This window comes from Homo sapiens, chromosome 1, assembly GCF_000001405.40.
Source record: "Homo sapiens chromosome 1, GRCh38.p14 Primary Assembly".
In the NCBI taxonomy this organism is placed as follows: Eukaryota; Metazoa; Chordata; class Mammalia; order Primates; family Hominidae; genus Homo; species Homo sapiens.
The window spans coordinates 12,077,993-12,103,511 of NC_000001.11; the positions used below are offsets into that span (position 1 = coordinate 12,077,993).

At 48.3% G+C, this 25,519-nt stretch overlaps 1 protein-coding gene and 1 pseudogene across 6 annotated transcripts in view, besides 4 other annotated features; one reads left to right on the top strand and one right to left on the bottom strand.

Moving 5' to 3' along the window:
• The window catches only part of TNFRSF8 (TNF receptor superfamily member 8), an 80,905-nt gene that overhangs the window by 14,690 nt on the left and 40,696 nt on the right, over window positions 1–25,519 (top strand). For 4 of the 6 annotated variants that reach the window (NM_001243.5, XM_011542441.4, XM_047434793.1 and 1 more), the window contains exons 2-3: window positions 6,472–6,559; window positions 19,109–19,225. In NM_001243.5, coding sequence (NP_001234.3) covers window positions 6,472–6,559; window positions 19,109–19,225 — 205 coding nt within the window. Of the gene's footprint in view, window positions 1–6,471; window positions 6,560–18,321; window positions 18,743–19,108; window positions 19,226–25,519 lie in introns of those variants that run through there. The other 2 variants (XM_011542443.3, NM_001281430.3) reach the window with 2 other exon arrangements.
• Window positions 24–1,022: an enhancer, noted in NCBI's record as "H3K27ac-H3K4me1 hESC enhancer chr1:12138073-12139071 (GRCh37/hg19 assembly coordinates)". NCBI's record gives its function as "activates a minimal SCP1, AML or CMV promoter by ChIP-STARR-seq in naive and primed H9 embryonic stem cells {active_cell/tissue: H9 hESC(naive and primed)}" and the evidence as "EXISTENCE:reporter gene assay evidence [ECO:0000049][PMID:30033119]".
• Window positions 1,343–1,502: an enhancer, noted in NCBI's record as "active region_200". NCBI's record gives its function as "activates an Ori minimal core promoter by ATAC-STARR-seq in GM12878 lymphoblastoid cells {active_cell/tissue: GM12878}" and the evidence as "EXISTENCE:reporter gene assay evidence [ECO:0000049][PMID:35858748]".
• Window positions 2,258–2,554, bottom strand: RPL23AP89 (ribosomal protein L23a pseudogene 89; annotated as a pseudogene).
• Window positions 9,648–9,757: an enhancer, noted in NCBI's record as "active region_201". NCBI's record gives its function as "activates an Ori minimal core promoter by ATAC-STARR-seq in GM12878 lymphoblastoid cells {active_cell/tissue: GM12878}" and the evidence as "EXISTENCE:reporter gene assay evidence [ECO:0000049][PMID:35858748]".
• Window positions 9,778–10,117: an enhancer, noted in NCBI's record as "active region_202". NCBI's record gives its function as "activates an Ori minimal core promoter by ATAC-STARR-seq in GM12878 lymphoblastoid cells {active_cell/tissue: GM12878}" and the evidence as "EXISTENCE:reporter gene assay evidence [ECO:0000049][PMID:35858748]".

The window sequence follows — 25,519 nt, forward strand, 5'->3', positions numbered from 1 at the left end:
GGGCTTTATTCATAGCTGGGTTGGAAGCCATCTGAGGGTCTTCAATAGGATGGAGGGGAAGACAGTAGATCGTGTTTTCAAAAGATCAGTCTGGTGTCTGCACTGTGAGCTGGGCGTGGTGGATGGGGTAGACGAGAGGAGACCCTCGGGTGGTCACTGTCAAGTCCAGATGGCGGGAAGGTGAGGAAGAGCTGGTAGATGTGGGGGTAAAACTGCAGGTTAAACAGACAGAACTAGTGATAGGTTGGGGGCCAGGGAGAAGCAAGCATTTCAAAAAGCAGTCAGTCTCGGCCAGGCATGGTGGCTCATGCCTGTAATCCCAGCACTTTGGGAGGCTGAGGTGGGTGGCTCATTTGAGGTCAGGAGTTCGAGACCAGCCTGGTCAACATGGTGAAACCCTGCCTCTACTAAAAATATAAAAATTAGCCAGGTGTGGTGCCAAGCGCCTGCAGTCCCAGCTACTTGGGAGGCTGAGGCAGGAGAATTGCTTGAACGCGAGAGGTAGAGGTTGCAGTGAGCCGAGATCGCACCACTGCACTCCAGCTTGGGCGACGGAGCGAGTACTCTGTCTTAAAAAACAAAAACAAAAAAACCCTCAGTCTCATGGGGAGTGGGGAGCAGGGATCTCAGAGCCCTGAACTACAGCACCCCCCCACCCCAGGCAGCAGAAGCTGGCGGATCAGAGCACGTGCCAAATCCTGGCCCTAACACTGACCAGCTGTGTGACTTTGGGCAGATTTCTCGTCCTTACGTCTCAGTCTCCCCCATCTGTAAAATGGGCTGACAGTTGTTGGCTATTAGAATTACTTTCGCTATGGAAAGCAAACCGTTCCAGCATTTGCACTTCTTTCTGCTCAGCTTCTGCTAGGTCAGCGCATCTCAAACTCCCTGGGGCTCTTGTTAAAATGCAGATTCCAATTAGGGAGGTCTGGGGTTCTGCATTTTGAGAAAGTTCCAAGGTGGTGCCCCTGCTGCTGGCCCGGGGCCTCACCTTGAATAACAGAGCGCACAGCGGTGGAGATCCCCAGGAGACAGGGAGGGGAGGGGTGCTTACCTCGCTGGCCCTGCTCAGCTCTGGCCCCTTCGGGGATTTTGCATTTGATCTAACTCCCCGCTCACCCCACAACTTCTAGACTCGTCTCCCACAGGTATGGTCCGGCTGAGACCAGGTGGGGCTTTTTGAAAGTGAACTTTAACTGGTCTTGTAGGGAAAACCAAACCAACCTGAAAATAGACAGACCTGAAAATGGTAAGGTTTTAGGCCACCCTCTCTTTATCTTGATGCCACTAAGGTGGGGCGGAGGGCCTCCGGTTGCACAGCTCATTACCTTGTGGACACCTCACTTTGCCTTGAACCTGCGGGGAACTCCACCCAAAAGCCCCCCCTCCAGTCCTTGGGCTTCCCCCTCCCACTCTTCGCTTTCTGATCCCTCCTTCCCTCCCAGGCAAGGGCCCGAGCACATCCCAGCTCCCCTCTCTCTCTTCCCCAGGGCAGCAGGAGCTGATGAGCCAGGCAGGGTGGGCCTGGAAATTCACAGGGCCAGACTTCTCCGGGCAGCGGCAGACGCCCCGGCCCTTGCCTCCTTCTCCACCGGGAGCTGGGACAGGTGAAGGGCCTGTGTAAGGGGAAGGGGGTGCCCCTTCCTCGCTCAGCTCCACATGGAAAATGGGGCCCTAAGTCCTCTGCTCCTCCTTCCAAGGGGATTTGAGAGGCACAGGCTGGCCATCCCACCAGGTTGAGATCCCACAGCCCCTCCGCACAGCAAGAAGACTGCCCTCCGGTGGCAAGCTATGGATTTACCGAGAATTATTGCTGAAAAGAAGCCACCACCTCCCAGCATTTCGTGTCCTTGAGATGCTATTTACATATGTGGCTTTGTACATCTGTGTTCTCACTCTCTTTACATATACTTATCACTACTTTATTTTTATCACTACTTTATTTTTTAATTCTCTATTTTTTTTTTTTTTTTTGAGGCAGGGTCTCACTCTGTTGCTCATGCTGGAGTGCAATGGCGTGATCTCGGCTCACTGCAACCTCCGCCTCCTGGGTTCAAGGGATTCTCCCGCCTCAGCCTCCTGAGTAGTTGGGATTACAGGCATGCACCACCATGCCCGGCTTATTTTTGTATTTTTAGCAGAGACGGGGTTTTGCTACGTTGGCCAGGCTGGTCTTGAACTCCTGACCTCAGGTGATCTGCTGGCCTCAGCCTCCCAGAGTGCTGAGATTACAGGCATGAGCCACCGTGCCCAGCCAAGATGATCCCAGTTTTGTTGGCAACATCCAAAGCATTGTAATCAGGAGCCAGTGGAACATATGCCTTCTTCTCTCCATCCGGCCGAATCAGGGTGCTGACCTTGGCCACATCCATGCCATAGAGCTTTGTCACAGCCTGTTTGCTCTGGTACTTGTTGGCTTTAACATCCACAGTGAATACAAGTGTGTTGTTGTCTTCTATCTTCTTCATGGCAGACTCTGTGGTCAGTGGGAACTTGATAGCAGAGTGGTCGAGCTTGTTTCTCCTGGGAACGCTCTTTCGAGGATATTTGGGCTTTTAATACCTATTTTTATTTATTTTTTTGAGATGGAGTTTCACCCTTGTTGCCTAGGCTGGAGTGCAATGGTGCGTTCTTGGCTCACTGCAGCCTCCACCTCCCAGATTCAAGCGATTCTCATGCCTCAGCCTCCTGAGTAGCTGGGATTACAGGCACCCACCACCACTCCTGGCTAATTTTTTCGTATTTTTAGTAGAGACGGGGTTTCGCCATGTTGGCCAGGCTGGTCTCAAACTCCTGGCCTCAGCTGACCCTCCTGTCTCATTCTCCCAAAGTGCTGGGACTACAGGCGTGAGCCACCGTGCCCGGCCCTGGGATTTTTTTATTTTAAAGATGGGTAGCCTGTGGCCCAGAGATGGGGGAGAATTGGGGACACGGTGAAGCTCAAACCTCTCTGCACTTAGTTGCTGTGTGACCTTGGGCAAGTGGCTACACCTCTCTGGGCTGCAGTTTCCTCATCTGTAACATGGGGTAGTGATCTGGCCCCAAAGAGCTAGCAGTGTGTAAAGGAGGAGTTGTGTGAAAGCAGGCACCCAAGGCCAGACTCGGGGGAGTAATGTGCAATACCATGGGCTCCCCATTCTCTGCACCCCCTACCCCTCCATTGACCCAGGTGTGATGGCAGGAGGGAAGCATAAGCAGCCAGAGCCCCCCAGGTGTGCCCCAGGCCCCAGCAGAGTGAGCAGGGCCTGGGCCCATGGTCCCCATAGACTCCGTAGCTGTCAGTGAGATTAGCAGGCAGGCCGGGAGGGGAGACCAAGGACAAGGACCCAGAATGTTCCCACACTCAGCAGGCCTTGCCAGTGAGCCCTCACACCTCCAGCCAGCCCCAGGCCCAGGCTACTGAACTCACCCAGTGAGATGCTGTGGGTTAGGAGCACTTCGGGTGTCCTGGCAGGTTCCTGCCCCCCTGGAGAGGCTCCCAGGAGCCCTCTGGGTGACTTAAGAGAGGACACTCTCCTCTCCTACTGGAGGGAGGAGGGTGTCCTCAAGGCCCGGGGCTCTGGATTAAATAAGAAGGGAGACAACTCAAGCGCCATGTGACTATTGGGCAAATATCACGTTCATGTATTATTTCAAATTAATATGGTGACATGTTTCAGACATGCAAAAAAAAAAAAGAATGATGTAACCAACACCCCATTTATCCACCTTCCAGCCACGCTGCTGCTTTCTGCTGCTTCCTGAACATGCCGGAAGCTTCACTGCTCCCTCGAGTGGAGAGAAGAGTCAGGCAGCCCTTTAGGCCAGCCAGGCCTCTCTCCTGGGGAAAAGTGGCTTCTGCTTCCTTCCCTAAACCAAGAAAGCCCCACATCGCACCAGGGGCCACCTCCTTTCTGCCAGGCACCATCTTGGATGCTGAAGACATGGAAATGCTACAAGGCTTCCTCCCTGCCTCTTGCCTCACTTCCTGCTTCCCTTCTCTTGCCTCACTTCCTGCTTCCCTTCTCTTGCCTCACTTCCTGCTTCCCTTCTCTTGCCTCCCTTCCTGCTTCCCTTCTTTTCCCTTTTGCTCCACCCTAGAAGTTTCACATCCTGGATCACCCCAGAAAAGTGCAATGGCGTTCCCCTGTCATTCCATCTGGAAAGACAAAACTCCTTCCCTGGAATCTCAACAAAGAATTTCCTCTCTTGAATCCTTTCTTATGATGGTGCTTCACTTTCAAAGAACCCTTGAAACACATGGGGGGCTTGGTAAAAACATATCTTCCTGAGGCCGGGCCAGGTGGCTCACGCCTGTAATCCCAGCATTGTGGGAGGCTGAGGCAGGAGGATTACTTGACCTCAGGAGTTTGAGATCAACTTGGGCAACATAGCAAGACCCAGTCTCTACAAAAAAATAAAACATTAGATGGGTGTGGGGGTGCATGCCTGTGGCCCCAGCTACTTGGGAGGCTGAGGCGAAAGAGAGGACTATTTCAGCCTGGGAGGCTGAGGCTGCAGTGAGCCATGATTGCACCATTGCACTCTAGCCTGGGCAACAGAGTGAGACCCTGTCTCAAAAAAAAAAAAAACAAAAACAAAACAAAAAAAACCCCCACAAAAACCCACAAAACAAAAACCACGCCTTCCTGAAAAGAGTGAGCCTCTCCGACCCCTACTTCACACCATGTACAAGAATGAAACTTGAATATGAACGATTAAACAATCTCATCTAGGAGTTAATGTAGGAGAATATCTAAGTGACACTGAGTGGGCAAATATTTCTTAAACAGGACAAAAAAAGGCATTAACCATAAAAGAAAAGATTAGTATATGTAATTTATTAAAGCTAAGAATGTCTGTTCATCAAAAGCCTCCAAAAAGAAAGTGAAAAGGCAAGCCAGAGGATGCGAGAAGATACTTGCAGTACATATAATCAACAAAAGCCGTGTATCTAGAATATGTAAAGAACCCTACACATCAATAAGAAAAGCCAGACAACCCAATTAAAAAAAAATGGCCACAAGACCTGAATAGGCATCTTACAAAAAAGAATGCCTAAATGGTTAATAAATGTGGGAAAAGGTGCCCAACAACATTACTTATCAGAGAAATGCAAATAAAAACCACAATGAGGTATCACTACAGATCCAACAAGATGGCTAAACTTTTAAAAACTGATACCACCAAGTGCTGACAAGGATGTGGAGCAATTGGAATCCTCAGACACTGCAGGGAAGTGCCTACTAGTACGACTACTTTAGAAGCCTGGATGGAGAATCTATCAGAACTGAACATGCCTTATGCCCCAGCAGTTCCACTCCTAGGTATATAGCCAACAAAAGCGTGTACGTTTGGACACTAAAACGTGTGTACAGGAATGTTCCCAGCAGCACTATCATAATAACCAAAAAGTGGAATGTCTATCGAGAGCAGGCCCGGAGTGGTGGCTCATACCTGTAATCCCAGCACTTTGGGAGGCCAAGGCGGGTGGATCATTTGAGGTCAGGAATTCAAGACCAGCCTGACCAACATGGTGAAACTCTCTCTGCTAAAAATACAAAAACTAGCTGGGCATGGTGGCACACACCTGTAGTCTCAGTTACTTGGCAGGCTGAGGCACAAGAATCATTTAAGCCCAGGAGGTGGAGGCTGCAGTGAGTTGAGATTGCACCACTGCACTCCAACCTGGGCAATAGAGCAAGACTCTGTCTCAACAAATTAAAAAAAAGAGAGTAGACTAGACAAATAAATTGTGCATATTTGTGTGATGCTATACTGCAAAGCAATGGACAGAAATGAGCAACTGTTATTTGCAACAGTGCGAATGATTCTCACAATATAATGCTGAATTAAAGAGGCCGATTGCAGGGGAATGGACTGCGTAATTCTACTTTATGTAAAATCCAAAAGCAGTCAACACTAATAGAGCGATAGAAATCAGCCTTTTGGGAGGAGTGTGTGGGAGGGGGGATGACGGAGGAGCTGGGGCTGGCAAGGTCCCATTTGATGAGTTGGGTGCTGATTGCCTGGTGCGTTCATCTTGTAAAAATGCAGTTGGCTGTAACTTGAGATCTGTGCACTTTTTTGTACGGGTGTGTTAGACTTCAACAAATACGTTTACCAGAAATTTGTATTGTTGGGCCCATCCCAGAGACAAGGTAGGAAGCAATTATGTTAATCCCAGGGCAAGGGGATGGTGACTAGCCCCAGGTGAAGGTGGTGATGATTATGGTATGAAAAGGGCCAGGAGAATTTGCTGATAGGTTGTTTGAGAGGAGAGAGTCAAGGGAGACGCTAAAGTTTCTGGCCTGAGCTGGAGTAGCAGGGGGAAGCGTAAGGGCGGTGTGGGTTTGTGGAATCAGGAGTTCTCGTCCTGATTTCTCTCCTATATTACAAAGCTCCGTCTCAGGCCTCCTGGGACTGGTGGGGACAGAGGGAGTATGGATATCTGGGATCCACCTGGCCTCACCAGCTTTTCTGACCTGCCAGGATCGACCCTTCGAGGACACCTGTCATGGAAACCCCAGCCACTACTATGACAAGGCTGTCAGGAGGTGCTGTTACCGCTGCCCCATGGGTGAGTGGGGGCGTTGGGGGTGGGGAGAAGGGGGGAAATTTGTCCTCAATTGATGACCCTCTTGGGGGATTGATGAGTGGGGAAATTGGAGCCAACCGTCATCGTCATAATTGGCTACAGTTTTCTGCAGGTCATTCCTAGTGTCGCGGAGTCCAAGGACTCTCTCGGAAGGCTAGGGCTGTAGAATTGAGACTGTGTTTCTTGCTGCCACCAGAATGTCCATCTCCATGAGTTTTTATTTTTAACGTAGAGCTGCCCTTTATTGGACACTTACTATCCATGAGTCCGAGACCTTTATATGCACGGCATCATCTCATTAAGTGCTTGCAATGATCCTTTATTACACTCAATTTGCAGATGAGGCTACTGGGGCTTGGCAGGGTTAAGTTCCAGCTACTTCCCTTGATGACCAGGGTCACACAGTTGGGAAATGGTGGAATGATCAGGGCTGGGGCCCAGGGCTCAGAGACCTCAAAGCCTGGGCTGTCAACATCCTCTGACCACCCTTCATTTCTGGGGCCCAGAAGTCCTTTGCAGTTCTTTCTTTTCTCTCTTATTTTTATTTTTATTTTTTTTGAGATGGAGTTTTGCTCTTGTTGCCCAGGCTGGAGTGCAATGGTGCAATCTCGGCTCACTGCAACCTCCACCTCCCGGGTTCAAGCGATTCTCCTGACTCAGCTTCCCAAGTAGCTGGGATTACCGGCATGCACCACCACACCTGGCTAATTTTGTATTTTTAGTAGAGACAGGGTTTCGCCATATTGGCCAGGCTGGTCTCAAACTCCTGACCTCAGGTGATCCACCCGCCTCAGCCTCCCAAAGTGCTGGGATTACAGGCATGAACCAACGTGCCCGGCCTAATTTTTTTATATTAATTTAAAATAGAGACAAAGTCTCGCTATATTGCACAGGCTGGTCTTGAGCTCCTGGGCTCAATTAGTCCTCCTGCCTCAGCCTCCCAAAGCACTGGGATTACAGGCATGAGCCTCCATGCCTGGCCTCTTTGCCGTTCTTGACTGCCCCAGCTCAGGACAGGTGTTTATCCTGGGACAACCTGGACAATAGATTTCTCTGAGACCAGTCTCCCAGACCAGAGCTCCCTTTCTGGAATGTTCCCCCACCCCCAGCACCGTGATTGACTTCTAGTCAATTACCAGGAAATCCTTCTGGAGCTGGGGTGAGTGTTGTTCCTTCCATTTTGTAGATGATGCTTAGGCCCGAGGAGATAAGCAGCTGGAATAGGGTCATGAGGCATTTCTGCCCCTGTGGTTATTATCAAAAGTCCCAAGGCACCACCAGTGGTCTTAGATGGGCGGGGCAGGACATAACGATGCCCTCGTGGTCTCTGACCTCCAGGAACAGAGATTGTCACGGGGACATCAGCCTTTAGCTGTGCCAGCAAGGGTGGGAGGGAGTCTGTGTGTGTCTGGTTCATCATCGCCACTTCTTGCTTTGAGGACAGCAGGCCATTGCAAGTGGGCGGGCATCGTCTGGAGGGCTTCCGACAGTGGGGGCGGAGGGGCCCATCCACCCAGCTGTACTGTCTGGAGGGTGGTGACAGGTTATGGCCATCAGGGCTATTCCACTGGAGCTGCGCGGGAACCCAGGTCAGTCAGTTCCTAGACTTGTGGCCTCAACTCCCCCATGAGATGCAGACCAGGCTCGTGCTCAGGCCACCAAAGGACAGAGGGAAACATTCTTGGAAAGAATTTGATGTTTTTGTATTTGATTTTGATTTGTATTTCCAACAATGATTCAAAGTATTCATTGTATGGGCAAAAGTAGTGGGTTGGATGCTATTGGACTTTCTTGCTTTTATTTTTGGTTTAGTGTTGATTTTGAATGATCTATTAGGTGGGTCCCCTGGTTTTTTCAGTGCTTCACTGGTCGGCCATCCACCCACCCATCCAAGTACCTGCCCCCCTCACCCACCCACCCATCCAAGTACCTGCCCACCCACCCATCTTTTTAACCACTCACCAACCCACCCCTCCCATCCCCTTTCCATTTTTCTTCCCATCTAGCCACTATCCATCCATCCATCTGTATTAGTTTGCTGGGGCTGCCATAACAAAATACTGTAGTCTGGGTGACCTAAACAATAGACATTTATTTCTTACAGTTCTGGAGGCTTGAAGGTCCAAGATCAAGGTTTTTGGAGGATTTGGTTTCTGGTGAGGGCTGTCTTCTTGGCTTGCAGATGGCAGTCTTCTCATGGTGGGAAGATCGATCTCTCTCTCTCTTTCTCTCTCTTTCCCCCTCTTCATATATGCCACCAATCCCCCTGGATTAGGGCCCCATCCTTATGACCTCATTTAACCTTAATTATCTCCTAAAAGTCCTATCTCCAAATACAGTCACACTGGGGTTAGGGTTTCAACACATTTAACATATGAACTTTGTGGGGGACACAATTCAGTCCATAGCACCATCGCCTTCCCATATCCCTCCAATTATCCTCCCATTCACCGCCCCCATCCATACACCCACCCCTCTCCTGGCCATTTTCTCATCTACCTTTCTATCCATCCATCCATCCATCCATCCATCCATCCATCCATCCATCCATCCATCCATCATCCATCCAACAAATTTTTATTTCTCTCTCTCTCTCTTTTTTTTTTTTTTTTTTTTGAGATAGAGTCTGTCTCTGTAGTCCAGGCTGGAGTACGGTGGTGTGATCTTGGCTCACTGGAACCTCCGCCTCCTAGGTTCAAGCAATTCTCTTGCCTCAGCCTCCTGAGTAGCTGGGATTACAGGCATGTGCCACCACACCCAGCTAGTTTTTGTATTTTTAGTAGAGATGGGGTTTCACCGTGTTGGCCAGGCTGGTCTTCAACTCCTGACCTCCAGTGGTCTGCCCGCCTTGGCCTCATAAAGTGCTGGGATTACAGGCATGAGCCACTGTGCCAGGCCTAGTTTCTGGGCCTTTGGACATGCCTGTCCCCATGTGGGATGCCCTCCCCTCCGTCCCTACCTGCTGCAATTCTGGAACCCCTTCCTCCATGAGGCCTTCCCTTGCTAGCCTGATGGTTGGTGGTGGTTCCCACTCAGTTCTCTCAGGGCCCGCTTGCTGTGGTTTTTATCCTCTGGAATGGAGTGGCCCACAGTGTTCTATGACTTTTCATGGGACCCACAATCCCAGCCACAAGGAGAAAGACACTTCCTTCTCATCCTCTTCTGGCCCCTTTGACTCCAGCCTGAAAGGGCCTTGATGGGGAGTGGGTGGAGAGAAAAATGACATCTCAGGTCCCAGGCTCCCTCCACTTAAAAGCTGTGACTTAGGAAGAGGGGGCTCCCTCCTCCCCACTTCCCCTCTCTAAGGCCCAGTGCTGGCTGGGGCTGAATACTCCATATTGGTGTGGTGGGTGGGGCATTTTACTGGTGTTTTATTGACCTTGTGCTTCCGTGTAGCCAGAGAAGAAAAAAGAAAAACCCACAAAAACCCCTTCTTTGATCTCTCGGGGAAATTTCTTGACATTTTGCCTGCCCTGTGCAGCCAGCACTCAGCTGTGTGGCCGGGTTTGCTTGTGGGCGGGTTGGTGGAGGAAGGAAGCTGAGGGACCTTTGAGATTGAAAAATGTAGATGTCATCGAATCCCTCCTTGCACCCAGGCCTGTGATGCCCTCTCCAGCATTCCTGAGAGCAGGTCCCCAGCCCTTTGCTTACATACTCTTGGTGACGGGGAGCTCATTCACTGACTCATAACAATGACCACGATTCATACCGATGGAGCACGCTATGTGCTGGCCACTGTGCTGGGCCCTTTACCGACCTTAAGTTCCTTCAATCCTGATAAGAAATCCAGAGAGGAAACTTGGACACCGAGGGGTTCAGGAATTTGCACAAGGCCACATGCGTATCAGTGGCTCAGCCGGGCCGTGAACATGACCACCGAGTGCAGTCTCCTGAGCTCTTCAACTGTAGTTGATACTGACCCTCAAGGCCTCGAATTTGGGAGGCAGAAGAGTTTACGAGTGAAGAGCTAATGCGGGGGCTACAAAGCCCTTCCTGTTCTCCATCTTCCTGGACTACCCTCTCTTTGTGTGCAGACTCGCTCCCCACAGGAAGGGGTCTCTCCTGCAGATGTTTGAGGCCTGCCCAGGTTCAGGGGAAGGATGTGAGGCCAGGCCAAGTGTTAGGTAGGGAGCATGGCAGGTGTATCCCATCTTGTCCCAGGAGCTGAGGGTTCCTCCGAAGGCTGTGAACAGGAAGGAGGAGGAGGAGGGGGTTTGTGGGTTCCCCCAGCTTCCGCTGCCCTTGGGTAAAGCTCAGCTTTGTGCATGGGCACGCCCATTTGGCATGACAGCTGCTGCCCCTGCCGCCTCCCCCTCCCCCGCCCAGTCCCTCTTCATCCTGGGCTTCAGCTGAGTGTGCTGGGCTCCCCTGTGCCCTCTGACACTGTCCCAGCAGAGCCCCCTCACAGCACCTCCTGGCCCCCCACTGTCCCTGTGTGCTTGACTCACACCTCTGCATTCCTCAGGGTCCACTTAAGTGTAGGCCCTCCCTGACCCCAGCCTGGGCCACAGAGCGAGATTCTATCTCGAAAAAAAAGAGAAATAAACATTTGTTGGATGGATGGAGGGATGGCCCTCCCTGACCCCAAGCCAGCTCAGAGGTCTTGGCTCTGGGCTCTTGGTGCCTCCCATGGTTCCACTTTCCTAACACTCCTTCCATGTGTCATGACTTGTCTATCGTCTTCCTGCAGGATCCCCAGCCCTGACCCCAGGGCTTGGCACATAGTAGAGTCTCAATTTTTGAAAGAATAGGTGAATGAATGAATATGGCTAACTTGCCCCGCATACTCTTCTGTGACAGCCAGCCATTGCCTCACAGGGCCAAGCTTCCATTGTCCCCCTGGCACCTCCCTCTGCTGAAGTCAGACCAGCCTCTCTCTCCTGTCCATCCCACTCGCAGGTACATCCTAGTCTTTTCTTTAAGCCTGAAAAATCCACCAGGGTTCTTTTGTATAGGAGGAAGTATGTGGGCGTGGAAGGGAGGAAATGGAAGGCAGTAGAAGGAAATAGGACTGGCCCAATGCAGCAAGCATTTATTGAGCTCTGTTGGATATAGGGTTATTTGGGGGAGAGAAGGACAAGGTCCTGCCTCCTGGGAGCAACCCACTAGTAGGGGAGGTGACATGCTTATATATATCTGATACTCCAGAGGGTATCTGTGCTAAGATAGTTTCAAAGGAGGAAGAATGGGAGCTTACAGTGAGGAAAAGCCCCTATACCACTGGTCTGCATCCACCCATCCATCCATCCGTTCATCTACACATCCATCTACCCATCCACCCATCTACCCACTCATCCACTCTTCCCTAACCCATCCATCTATCCACCTATCTACCTGCCCATCCACCCTTCCCCATCCATCCATCCATCCATCCATCTACCCATCCACCCATCTACCCACTCACCTACTGTTCCCTAACCCATTCATCTATCTACCCATCTACCCACCCATCCACCTTTCCCCATCCATCTATCTACCCATCCATCTACCCATCCATCCATCTACCCACTCATCCACTCTTCCCTAACCCATCCATCTATCCACCCATCTATCCACCCATCCACCTTTCCCCATCCATCTATCTACCCATCCAACCATCTACCCACTCATCCACTCTTCCCTAACCCATCCATCTATCCACCCATCTATCCACCCATCCACCTTTCCCCATCCATCTATCTACCCATCCAACCATCTACCCACTCATCCACTCTTCCCTAACCCATCCATCTATCCACCCATCCACCTTTCCCCATCCATCCATCCATCCATCCACCCATCCGTCTACCCATCCACCCATCTACTCACTCATCCACTGTTCCTCCACCCATCCATCCATCTACCCATCTACCCACCCATCCACCCTTCCCCCATCCATCCATCCATCCACCCACCCACTCATCCATCCACGTACCCACTCATCCATCCACCCACCCACTCATCCATCCACCCACCCACTCATCCACCTACTCGTTTATCCATTCACCTATGCACTCACTCATCCATCCATCCACCCACCCACCCACTCATCCATTTACCCACCCATCCACCCACTCATTCATTCATTGATTCACCCAATATGTTTTGTGTATTTGCATTCTATCAGACCCTAGAGATTCAACCATGGGGGGGCAGCTATCATCTTGCCCTCACAAACTCAATCTCAATAAGACAAATATTATACCAATTTGAGACTTTTCTACCTGCTTGTAAGAAAAGGGGGTGCCATAGTTTGAATTCCCCCAGAAGTAGACTGTTATGGGCTGAGTCATGCCCGTATCCCCCAACCAATTCCTATGTTGAAGTCTTAACCCCAGAATCTCAGAGTGTGACCTTATTCGGAGATGGGGTCTTTAAAAAGGCAATTGAGTTAAAATAAGTTCACTAGGATAGGCCCAAATCCAATATGACTGGTGCCTTTATAAAAGGAAATTAGGACACAGATATACACAGAGACAAGACTGTGGGAGGACATGGGGAACACAGTCCATCTGTAAGTCAGAGAGAAAGAGCTCAGAAGAAACTAGCCCTGCCCATACCTTGATTTTGGACTTCTGGCTTCAAGAGCTGACAATTAATTTCTGTTGTTTAAGCCACCCTGCTGTCTGTCGTAGTTTGTTATGGCAGCCTGAGCAGACTGATGCACAGACTTTGAGGCAATGATCTGAGTACAGTTGGTGATGCCTGGAAACACCAATTTGGAAGTAGGGAAGTGGCAGACGGAAGGGAAGGCAGCTTATAAAGTTGTGTTAGAAAGCTAGTTACTGCTGTGGGCAACTGGGGCTTAATCCCTCTGGGGGCCTCTGGGAGCCAGTGCAGAACAGCTGAGGGTGAGGGAGCTGGGGTATTTATATGCCAATGTCCATCAAACATTGGTGGAACTGCTCCTGGGGTGGTACATCTTGGTAGGTCTGGCCTGCCACACCCTGGCAGAGCAGGCTCTGGGTGCTCTGAGAGGGTGATTTTAAAGGGACCCAGAGAGAGGATCTGGGTGGGGTCAGATGATCAGGAAAGTTCCATGAGAAGATGGTATTTCAGCCTGATCTGGCTGGGTGTGAAGGGTTCCCAGTGGGTGGAAGATGGAGAAGCCACTTAGCCTGCAGGAAGAACATTTGTGTTAGTTTGCTGGGGCTGCTGTAACAAAGTACCTCAGGCTGAGTGGCTTAAACCAGTGGTCCCCAACCTTTTTGGCACCAGGGACTGGTTTTGTGGAAGATGATTCTTCCCATGAAGGGGGGTCAGGGATGGTTTTGAGATGAAACTGTTCCATCTCAGATCATCAGGCATTAGAGTCTCATGAGGAGCATGCAACCTAGATCCCTTGCACGTGCAGTTCACAATAGGGTTTGCGCTCCTATGAGAATCTAATGCAGTTACTGATCTGATAGGAGGTGGGGCTCAGGAGGTAATGCTCGCTCACCGTCACTCACCTCCTGCTGTGTGGCCCCGTTCCTAACAGGCCATGGACTGGTACTGGTCCCCGGCTGGGGACTGGGGTCGCCTGGCTTGTGGCAGCATAACTCCAATCTTCACATGGCATTCTCCCTGTGTGCACATCTGTCTCTGTGTCCAAATTTCCCCTTTTCTTATTTATTTTATTTCATCTGTACTGTATTGTATTGTTTCAGAGACAGGGTTTTGCTCTGTCACCCAGGCTGGAGTGCAGTGGCATGATCATAGCCCACTGCAACCTCTAACTCCTGGGCTGAAGTGATCCTCCCACCTCAGCCTTTCTGAGTAGCTAGGAGTACAATGTGACATCACACCTGGCTAATTTTCTATTGTTGTAGATGGGGTCTTGCCTTGTTGCCCAGGCTAGTCTCAAACTCCTGGCCTCAAGTGATCCTTCCATTTCAGCCTCCTAAAGTGTTGGGATTACAGGCATGAGTTACCGTGCCTGAAAATGTCCAATTTTCCCCTTTTCTTTTATTTTTCTTGTCTTTTTTTTTTTTTTTTGAGACAGAGTCTCACTCTGTAACCCAGGCTGGATTGCAGTGGCGTGATCTCTGCTCACTGCAAGCTCCGCCTCCCGGGTTCACGCCATTCTCCTGCCTCAGCCTCCCAAGTAGCTGGGACTACAGGCGCCCGCCACCACACCCGGCTAATTTTTTTGTATTTTTAGGAGAGACAGGGTTTCACCATGTTAGCGAGGATGGTCTCGATCTCCTGACCTCGTGATCCGCCTGCCTCGACCTCCCAAAGTGCTGGGATTATAGGTGTGAGCCACCGCGCCCGACCTCTTTTTATTTTTTTTGAGACAGAGTTTCCCTCTGTTGCCCAGGCTGGAGTGCAGTGGTGTAATCTCAGCTCACTGCAACCTCCACCTCCCAGGTTCAAGTGATTTTCCTGCCCCAGCCTCCCGAGTAGCTGGGATTACAGGCACATGCCACCATGCCCTGCTAATTTTTGTATTTTTAGTAGAGACGGGGTTTCGCTATGTTGGCCAGGGTGGTCTTGAACTCCTGACCTCAGGTGATCTGCCCGCCTCGGCCTCCCAAAATGCTGGGATTGCAAGCGTGAGCCACCGCACCGGCCAAGTTTCCCCTTTTCATGAGAACACCGGTCAGATTAGATTAGGCCCACCCTAGCGGCTTCATTTTAACTGGATTGCCTCTTCAGAGCCCCTACCTCCAAATAAAGTCACATCCTGAGGTACTGGGGGTTAGGACTCCAGCATATATATTTTTTTGGGGAGACACAATTTAATCCATACCAACATTCAGGATGTATGAGGGGTGTTAGAGAAAAGATCAAGATACCCAGACTGGCTGTAGTAGAGAGTGCATGAAGTGAGCAATGTACTAGAATGCCAGACTGGGAAGATGGAGACACAGTGTGAGGCCTGGGAGTGCAGGCTGGGGAATGCCGTATGAACTAGGTTGACAGAACATGTTTTAATGAAATATGTGTGAGGCCCTATGATAGGGGAGGCATTGGTGAGTGGACATAGAAAGACTCATCCTCAAGGAGCTGACTTTTTTTTTTCCTTGAGACAGGGTCTTGCTTCGTTGTCCAGGCTGGGGTGCAGTGGCGCTATGCCCGCTCACTGCAACCTCTGCCTCCTGGGTTCAAGTGATTCTCCTGCCTCAGCCTCCCAGGTAGCTGGTATTACAGGTGTGCACCACCACGCCTGGCTAATTTTTGCATTTTCAGTAGAGATGAGGTTTCACCATGTTGGTCAGGCTGGTCTCAAACTCCTGACCTCAAATGATCCGCCTGGGCTGGGTGCGGTGGCTCACGCCTGTAATCCCAGCACTTTGGAAGGCCAAGGCGGGACGGATCATGAGGTCAGGAGATCGAGAGCATCTTGGCTAACACGGTGAAACCCCGTCTCTACTAAAAATACAAACAATTAACCGGTCATGGTGGTGATTGCCTGTAATCTCAGCTGAGGCAGGAGAATCACTTGAACCTGGGAGGCGGAGGTTGCAGTGAGCTGAGATCCTGCCACTGCACTCCAGCCTGAGCAACAGAGCAAGACTTTGTCTCAAAAAAAAAAAAAAAAAAAAAAAATCCGCCCACCTCAGCCTCCCAAAGTGCTGGGATTATAGGCGTGAGCCACCGCACCCGATGGAGCTGACATTCTTATGGGGAATTTAGACACTGTGAAGATTGAGCTCACAAATAAATGTGTGATTACAACAGTTAGGTGTTGAAGGGCAAGGAAATGAGTCTTTGTTTTTATTGGGGATCACGACCAAGGCTCTGAGACAGTGATGCTTTGATCATGATGTGAAGGCTGAGTGGGAGTTACTAGGGGAGAGGAGCATTCGGGGCAGAGGACCAGCTTGTGCAAAGGCCCTGGGGTGGCAGAAGGGAGCATTGCCCCTTTGGGGAACAGGGAGATGCCAGTGTGGCTAGAGATCAGAGGGCAAGGGGGACATAGGTGAGCCGAACCTCACTAGCCATGGTAAGGACCCATCCTGGGAGCCATGAGAAGCCTTTGAAAGTTTTCAGCAAGGAGTGAAGGGGTCAGATTTACCTCTCAGACTACTGGGGAACTACTGAAGTGTCTGAGTTAAAGAGTGACAGCCATGAAGCTAGTTTTTTTTTTTTTTTTTGCTTTTTTTTTTTGAGACGGAGTCTCACTCTATCGCCCAGGCTGGAGTGCAGTGACGCGATCTCGGCTCACTGCAACCTCCGCCTACCAGGTTCAAGCAATTCTCCTGCCTCAGCCTCCTGAGTAGCTGGGATTACAGGAGTGTACCACCATGCCCGGCTAATTTTTGTATTTTTAGTAGAGACGGGGTTTCACCATGTTGGCCAGGCTGGTCTTGAACTTATGACCTCAAATGATCCATGCGCCTCGGCCTCCGAAAGTGCTGGGATTACAGGTTTGACCCACCGCACCCGGCTCGAAGCTAGTATTTTTGAGAGGTTCTTGCGTGTTGTTCTAGGGCAGAGGTGCTTACCCTGGGGTCCATGGACTCAAAGGTAGATTTCACAGGGTTCATGAACCTGAATGGATTCAATTATTTTAATTAGCTTCTAGCTAAAATTCACTTATGAATTCCGCCCATTATGAATTAAGGCAACAAAGCACAGTGGTAATTGTAGTACACGGCTTTGTCCTCAGCGGAAATCATAGATATTCTCAGATTATATTACAGTAGCTGCAGATGTTGTGAAATGTTGTCTGGGCTCATCATTGCTTTGAAACTGTGGAGTTATTTTACCCTATTATTTAATGAGTTTACAAAGAATCACATGTTACTGTATCTTTTTTTTTTTTTTTGAGATGGAGTTTCGCTCCTGTTGCCCAGGCTGGAGTGCAATGGCACGATCTCGGCTCACTGCAACCTCCGCCTCCCGGGTTCAAGTGATTCTCCTGCCTCAGCCTCCCCAGTAGCTGGGATTACAGGCGCCTGCCACGACACCCAGCTAATTTTTGTATTTTTAGTAGAGACGGTGTTTCACCACGTTGGCCAGGCTGGTCTTGAACCCCTGACCTTATGTGATTCACCCACCTCGGCCTCCCAAAGTGTTGGGGTTACAGGCGTGAGCCACCGCACCCGGCCTGTTACTATATGTTATTTTGTTTAATGCTTTGATAACCATATTCCAAGGTAGTTGGATTCCTCTGCATTCCTGCATATTTTATTCATGAATTCATGATTCTGTGCAGTGTCCACAGGCTTCCTTAGAATGATTAGGGGCACAAGAAATATTGGGAACCCCCTGGTCTATTTTCATTGTAACTGGCAGAAGGGCTCAAATAAGACAAAAGAGAAATAATTGGCTCCCTAACAGAGAAGTCCATGGACACCCTACATTCAGATGTTTGAACGATGTCCTCAGGAGCCCATTTCTCTCCAACTCTGGCTTCTGCTGGCTTCTGAGTCACCTCCTTCTTAGGCAAGTCCTGCCCACACCATGCCCACGCTCAGGCTGTGATGACCTGGGCAGCTCTGGGCTTAACTAGCCCTTTCAGCCAGGAATCCAGTAGATAAACGGAGGACATCTTTCTGGATTGCTTTTGTGAAACTCTCAGAGATGAGGCTTATTGGCTGGCATGCCTGGGTCATGTGCCCATACTAAACTAATCACAGTGGTGAGGAACATGGAGTACTCTGATTGGCCTGCTTGGGTCATGTGGCAATCCTGAGCCAATTATATTGATGGGAAGAAGTATTCTGATTGGCCTGCTTGGGTCATGTGCTCATCCTGGAAGCAAGGTAGGCAGCGATTGCTGGGTGACTTGTTTATCTCGAAATCAGGCTGGATTAGGGTCTTAGTGGCAGGAGTGTCCAATCTTTCGGCTTCCCTGGGCCACATTGGAAGAAGAAGTGTTAGTGTGGAAGAAGTGAATTTAGTCTAACACTAAGGATAGTGTTTTAGCTTATAGCTGATGAGCTAAAAAAAAAAAAAAAAAAAATCACACACACGCAAATCTCATAATGTTTTAAGAAAGTTTATGAGTTTGCGTTGGGCCTCATTCAGAGCTGTCCTGGGCCGAATGCGGCTAGTCGTGGGTTGGACAAGCTTGGTCTAGACTTTCATGGTCTAAAGTTATGGCTCTCCTAATTCCTGCAGTGAGATAAGACCCCTGCAGAGAATGATGACAACCGGTGCTCATATAGTGCTTGTTGGGTGCCAGGGACTGCTGTAGTACTTTATACATATTTATCTTCACAGTCCATTCAGTCCTTTCAAGAACACTAGGAGGTGGGTCCTATTACTAACTTAATAGTGCTAAATATATACACGTACTATGTACCCTCACACACACACACACACAAATAGTGCTGACAAGGTCATTATCACGCAATTGGCAAATGGCAGCCCTAGAATCCCAGGCCCAGCTCTTCTCTATAACTATGTTGCTTTTCCTTGCCTGCTAGGGGACCTTAGGCGAGGGTTGCCCCTCCTGGGTGTCAGTGCTTCCATCCATAACACAAGAATTGGACTGACAGTTTTCGGGGGTTGGAGGTGGAGCTGGGAGGGGCGTCAGGGATGAGAGGTGTGGGGCATTGGGTCATAAGGCCTTTGCTAAGTCAGCCTGGCTTGGAGCTTCTCTGTTTCTTTTCCCAGGGCTGTTCCCGACACAGCAGTGCCCACAGAGGCCTACTGACTGCAGGAAGCAGTGTGAGCCTGACTACTACCTGGATGAGGCCGACCGCTGTACAGCCTGCGTGACTTGTTCTCGAGGTAAGGGCCTTGTTCTCTCTCCAGGGCCTCCTTCTAGGGAGCATGAGGGGTCCTCAGAGGAGAGGTGAAGAATCTGGAAGGTGGAGAGCATCATGATTTGATGTCTGTTCTCTGAATTGTCCTCCTGGTGCCTCAGTTTACCTCTCTGCATTTGTGATTTGATATCAGCCATGACCTTTTGCATCCATACTTTCACAGAGACTTAACATGTTTCCTGAAGGAGAGGACTCACATTTTTTTGAGTTTAATCCTCACCACAGCCCTAGGGGAGGATTTCTTGCTTATCCTTACTTTACAATGAGGAATTTGAGGATAGGGAGGTTAAGGGCCTTTCCAAAGTTACAAAACTCTGGTAAGTGGCAGAACTGGAGTTTGAGTTGTGGCCTGACACCAAGAGCTGTGTTCTTTTCCTAAGATCACAGGACTTCCAGGAAAACTGTTTCAGTATGACCTTTTATTGTTAGTCTCTTATTATGGTTAGAGAATGCAGTCTGTGTGCTATCTAGTGTTTATTTTTGTGTGGATTTTTTTGGGGGGTAGGGTGGGGGAAATTTGTTGAGATCTTTTTGTGGTCTAATAAATAATAAATGATCATGTATTTTCAGAGTGTTCAGTGTATGGGTGTTTTAAAATGTGTATTCTGTTTGTTGCGTATAAAGTTCTCTACATATCTATTAAGTTAAGCTTGTTAATTGTGTTATTTAAATAATGTGTACCCTTATTTACTTTTATCACCTTTATTTCTGAGAGATGTGTTAAAATCTTATCTCCCAGTATACTTGTTCATCTATTAGATTTTCATTGTGTTCTTTCTATTTTTGCTTCATATATGTCAAAGCTATGTTATTAGGTACATAAATGTTCATGAATGTTATGTTTTTTTGGTGGGTTGGGCTTTTTATCCACATGAATATACCTCTCCATTCCTTGTAATGCCTTTTCCCTTAATTTCACATTTGTTTGGCATTAATATTGCTATTCCTTCCTGGAAGAAGTAGCAAAGGTTAAAAAGAAAGAAAAGTAATAATAATATTGCCATTTCTTCTTTCTTTTTATTAGCATTTATCTGGTGTATCTTTGAATTTCTAAAAGTAATGACTGCATTTTATGAAATGAAAATTATAAACATTTATTATTTAAAATTCAAGCAATACAAAGAGTGTAAGGAAGAAAACAAACATTGCCCTCCCCAGCCCTCCATCTATAGATAACTACTATTATCATTAGATGGCTGACACGCCTCTACCTCTCTGTATAAAGATGGGTAGGTTAGTAACCAGACAGCCTGTACACACTTACAAAGAAGGAATTTTAAGAGAATGGCAACATATTTATGGCATTAAAATGATAATATTTAATTTTAGTCAAAAGTATCAGAAAAAGAAAGCGAAGTGAAACAGAAGAATGCCAAACCTCAGTCAGATTAATGTATCTTCAGCAAAAGATACTGCAATTCCTTTAAAAAAAAAAACCCTCTAAAATTAAGAAAGGAGGTTATGAAAATCAGTAAGTGGTTAATAATCATTTCAGAATCTACTATCTCTTGCAGTAAAGGCAAAATCTGCTTAGTTTGAGTTTTGGACAGTAGAGAATAGATTGACTCCCTGTAATGAAGAACAAAGTAATTATTTTTCCCACCTCCTCATCCTCTTCCTGACTTTTATTCCTTACACAAATTTTACTTTGTCATAATCTATAATGTTTATATTCTCATCTGCAACCATAAGTCCCTTGGCATGTTAGCCTTAACATTTTTTATTATTCATGATGAGTTTATTTGGCACAGCTTCTCTGTTCCTGAGTTTTTCACTTTGATTCATCATTTGAGTGATTGGATTACACTGTCAGGTGGATTTTTCAAGAAGGGCTCGTCTTTGCAATATTCTCTGTTATTTCATGTTTGAGGATGCTTGTCTGTTGCCTATATTTTTGTTTTCTTTTTTTTCTTTTTGAGACAGAGTCTGACTCTGTCGCCCAGGCTGGAGTGCAGTGGTGCAATCTCGGCTCACTACAACCTCTACCTCCTGGATTCGAGCGATTCTCCTGCCTCCTGAGTAGCTGAGATTACAGGGATGCACCACCACGCCTGGCTAATTTTTGTATTTTTAGAAGAGATGGGGTTTCATCATGTTGCCCAGGCTGGTCTCAAACTCCTGACCTCAAGTGATCCAGCCGCCTTGGCCTCCTAAAGTGTTGGGATTACAGGTGTGAGTCACCATTCCCGGCCCAATTTCTTATCTTTAAATTTTAAGACAGGGTCTCACTTTGTTGTCCAGGCTGGCCTTAAACTCCAGGGCTTAAGTGTTCCTCCTGCCTCAGCCTCCCGAGTAGCTGGGGCTGCACTTGCATGTTACTGCACCCAACTTACAATTTTTTTGTGTGTCTCTGAGGATATAAATTATAGTCATGTATTGCTTATTGACAGGAATACATTCTGACAAACGTGTCATTAGGCAATTTTGTCGTTGTGCAAGCATCCTAGATTAGTGTACTTACACACACCTACATGATGTAGCCTACTGCACACCTAGGTTCTATGGCAGATCCTTTTGCTCCTAAGCTACAACTCTGCACAGCATGTGACTGTCCTGAATACTGTAGGCAGCTGTGACACAATGTGAGTATTTGTGTATCTAAACATAGAAAAGGTGCAATAAAAATACGACATAGGCCGGGCACAGTGACTCACACCTGTAATGCCAGCACTTTGGGAGGCCGAGGAGGGTGGATTACCTGAGGTCAGGAGTTCGAGACCAGCCTGGCTAACATGGCGAAACCCCATCTCTACTAAAAATACAAAAATTAGCTGGGCGTGGTGGCACGTGTCTGTAGTCCCAGCTACTCAAGAGGCTGAAGCAGAAGAATTGCTTGAACCTGGGAGGCGGAGGTTGCAGTGCGCCGAGATCATGCCACTGCACTCCAGCCTGGGTGATAGAGTGAGACACCATCTAAAAAAAAAATATGATATGAAAGATAAAAAAAATGGCACACTTGTACAGGGCACTTACCGTGAATGGAGCTTGCAGGACACGAAGTTGTTCTGGGTGAGTCAATGAGTAAGTGGTGGGTGAGTGCGAAGGCCTGGGGCATTACTATGCACTACTGTGGACTTTATCAACACTGTACACTTAGGCTATACTAAATTTATAAGACACATTTTTCTTTCTTCAATAATAAATTAAACAACTTTTTCACTTTATAAACTTTAACTTTTTAAACTTTTGGCTCTTTTGTAATAACACTTAGCTTAAAGCACAAACACATCGTACAGCTGTACAAAAATATTTTCTTTATAGCCTTATTCATTACACTTTTTTCTACTTTAAAATTTTATTATTTTATTATTTTTAACATTTTTAAATTAAAAGCTGAGACGCAAACACCTACATTATCCGAGGCCTACACAGAGTCAGGATCATCAGAATCACCGTCTTCCTCCTCCAAATCTTGTCCCATTGGCAGCGTGCAGTGACTCACACCTGTAATCCCAGCACTTTGGGAAGCCGAGGTGGGCAGATCACTTGAGGTCAAGAGTTCAAGACCAGCTTGGCCAACATGGTGAAACCCCATCTCTACTAAAAATATAAAAATTAGCCGGGCACGTTGGCATGCGCCTGTAATCCCAGCTACTCAGGTGGCTGAGGCAGGAGAATTGCTTGAACCCGGGAGGCGGAGGTTGCAGTGAGCTGAGATTGTGCTACTGCACTCCAGCCTGGGTGACAGAATGAGACTCTGTCTCAAAAAAAAAAAAAAAAGAATCCTGTCCCATTGGAAGGTCTTCAGGAGCGGTAAGGTAACATGCATGGAGTATCGTCTCCTATGATAACAATGCCTTCTTCTGGATACCTGCAGAAGGACCTACCTGAGGCTGTATTACAGTTAACTTTTGTTTTAATAAGTAGGAGTACACTCTAAAATAATGATAAGGCCGGCTTGGTGGCTGATGCCTGCAGTCTCAGCACTTAGGGAGGCCAGGCTGGGAGAATCACTTGAGGCCAGGAGTTTGAGACCAGCCTGGGCAACACAGTGAGATCCCCATCTCTACACAAGATAAAATACATTAGCTGGGTGTGGTGGCATGCGCCTGTAGTCCCAGCTACTCAGGAGGCTGAGGTGGGAGGATGGCTTGAGCCCAGGAAGTTGAGGTTACAGTGAGCTGTGATCATGCCACTGCACTCCAGCCTGGGCAACAGAGCAAGACCCTGTTTCAAAAAAAAAAAATGATAAAAAGTATAGTACAGTAAGTACGTAAACCAGCAATATAGCTTTCTATGATCATTATCAAGTATTACATACTATCCATAATTGCATGTGCTATGCAGCACTTTTATACAACTGGCAGGGCAGTAGGTTTGTTTATACCAACATCTCCACAAACATGGGAGTAACGCACGTGCTACGACATTGCCGTGGCTATGACATCACTAGGCAATAGGAATTTTTCAGCTCCATTATAATCTCTTTTATTGTTTTTTTTGTTTGAGATGGAGTCCTGCTCTGTTGCCCAGGCTGGAGTGCAATGGCGCAATCTCGGCTCACTGCAACCTGGGTTCAAGCGATTCTCCTGTCTTAGCCTCTCAAGTAGCTGGGATTACAGGCATGCGCCACCATGCCTGGCTAATTTTTGTATTTTTTTTAGGAGAGGCGGGATTTCACCATGTTGGCCAGGCTGGTTTTGAACTCCTGACCTCAGGTTATCCGCCCTCCTCGGCCTCCCAAAGTGCTGGGATTACAGGCGTGAGCCACCGCGCCCGGCTTCCATTATGATCTTGTGGGACCATCATCATGTACGCCATCCATTGTTGACTGAAATGTTGCTCTGTGGTGCGTGAAGGTATCATTTCTAATGTTTTGTTCTGTTTTCCCTCTTTTCTGCCTCCTTGAGTGTTAGTGCTCTTTGCATTCAGAGCTCCTCTTCCTTGGCGCTGGTTTTCCTCTGATGTTTGGCGACTTCTAGTTCTGTGCACATCATATCTCATGATGCCGGTGGTCTGCGAATGGGGCTTCTGAAACCCACCTCTGAGGGCAATGGGGCTCAGGTGGGGCTGCAACAGTCTCTTTGCGGGAAGACGCGTGGCCTCTGGCTCTGTGGCATGAGTGATGAGGAGCTATCCAGAGCCTTTCCCCCTTCTTCAGAGAGTCCCCCTTGGCTGCATTCTGGGCTGTGGTCTCCTTCACTCTGATCTTATCTGTCCTCTGCCTTCCGTATTTCGGGGAGTTGTCTTCGTTTCTGATCTGCCAAGCTTGCCCCTTCTTGGTCTCCAGGCCTGTTACACATTAATTATTAGTTTTACCAGTGCTATTTTTGTTTTGTTTTGTTTTGTTTGAGACGGAGTCTCGCTCTTTTGCCCAGGCTGGAGTGAAGTGGGGCCATCTCAACTCACTGCAACCTCCACTTCTCGGGTTCAAGTGATTTTCCTGTCTCAGCCTCCCCAGTAGCTTGGATTACAGGTGTGCACCACCACACCTGGCTAATTTTTGTATTTTTAGTAGAGACAGGGTTTCACTATGTTGGCCGGGCTGGTCTCAAACTCCTGACCTCAGGTGATCTGCCCACCTCGGCCTCCCAAAGTGCTGGGATTACAAGTGTGAACCACCACTCCCCGCCTAGCTGTACTTTTTATGTCTGTTAACCAACCTGTGATTTCCTGCTTTTCCTGCCAGCAGTTGTTATTATCTGTCTTTTTGATTCGAGTCATTCTAGTGGTTGTGAAGTGGTATCTCACTGTGATTTTGACTTGCATTTCCCTAATGGCTAACGGTGTGGGACATTTTTCATGTGTTTATTGGCCAGCTGTGTATCTTCTTTAGAGAAATGTCTATTCCAGTCCTTTGTCCATTAAAAAAATTAATAAACTATTTCTGGCTGGGTGCAGTGGCTCACGCCTGTAATCTCAGCACTTTGGGAGGCCGAGGCGGGTGGATCACCTGAGGTCAGGAGTTTGAGACCATCCTGGCCAACGTGGTGAAACCCCGTCTCTATAAAAATACAAAAAATTAGTTGGGCGTGGTGGTGTGTGCCTGTAATCCCAGCTACTCAGGAGGCTGAGGCAGGAGAATCACTTGAACCCAGGTTGCAGTGAGCCGAGATTGCGCCATTGCACTCCAACCTGGGTGACAGAGTGAGACTCTGTCTTAAAAAAAAAAAAATTAATAAACTATTTCTTAGAGCAGTTTTAGGTTTACAGGAAAATTGAACAGAAAATACAGAGTTCCTATATACCCTCAACCCCCTTCCCAATCTCCCACAGTTTCCCCTATTTTTTGTTTGAAACAGGGTATCACTCTTTTGCC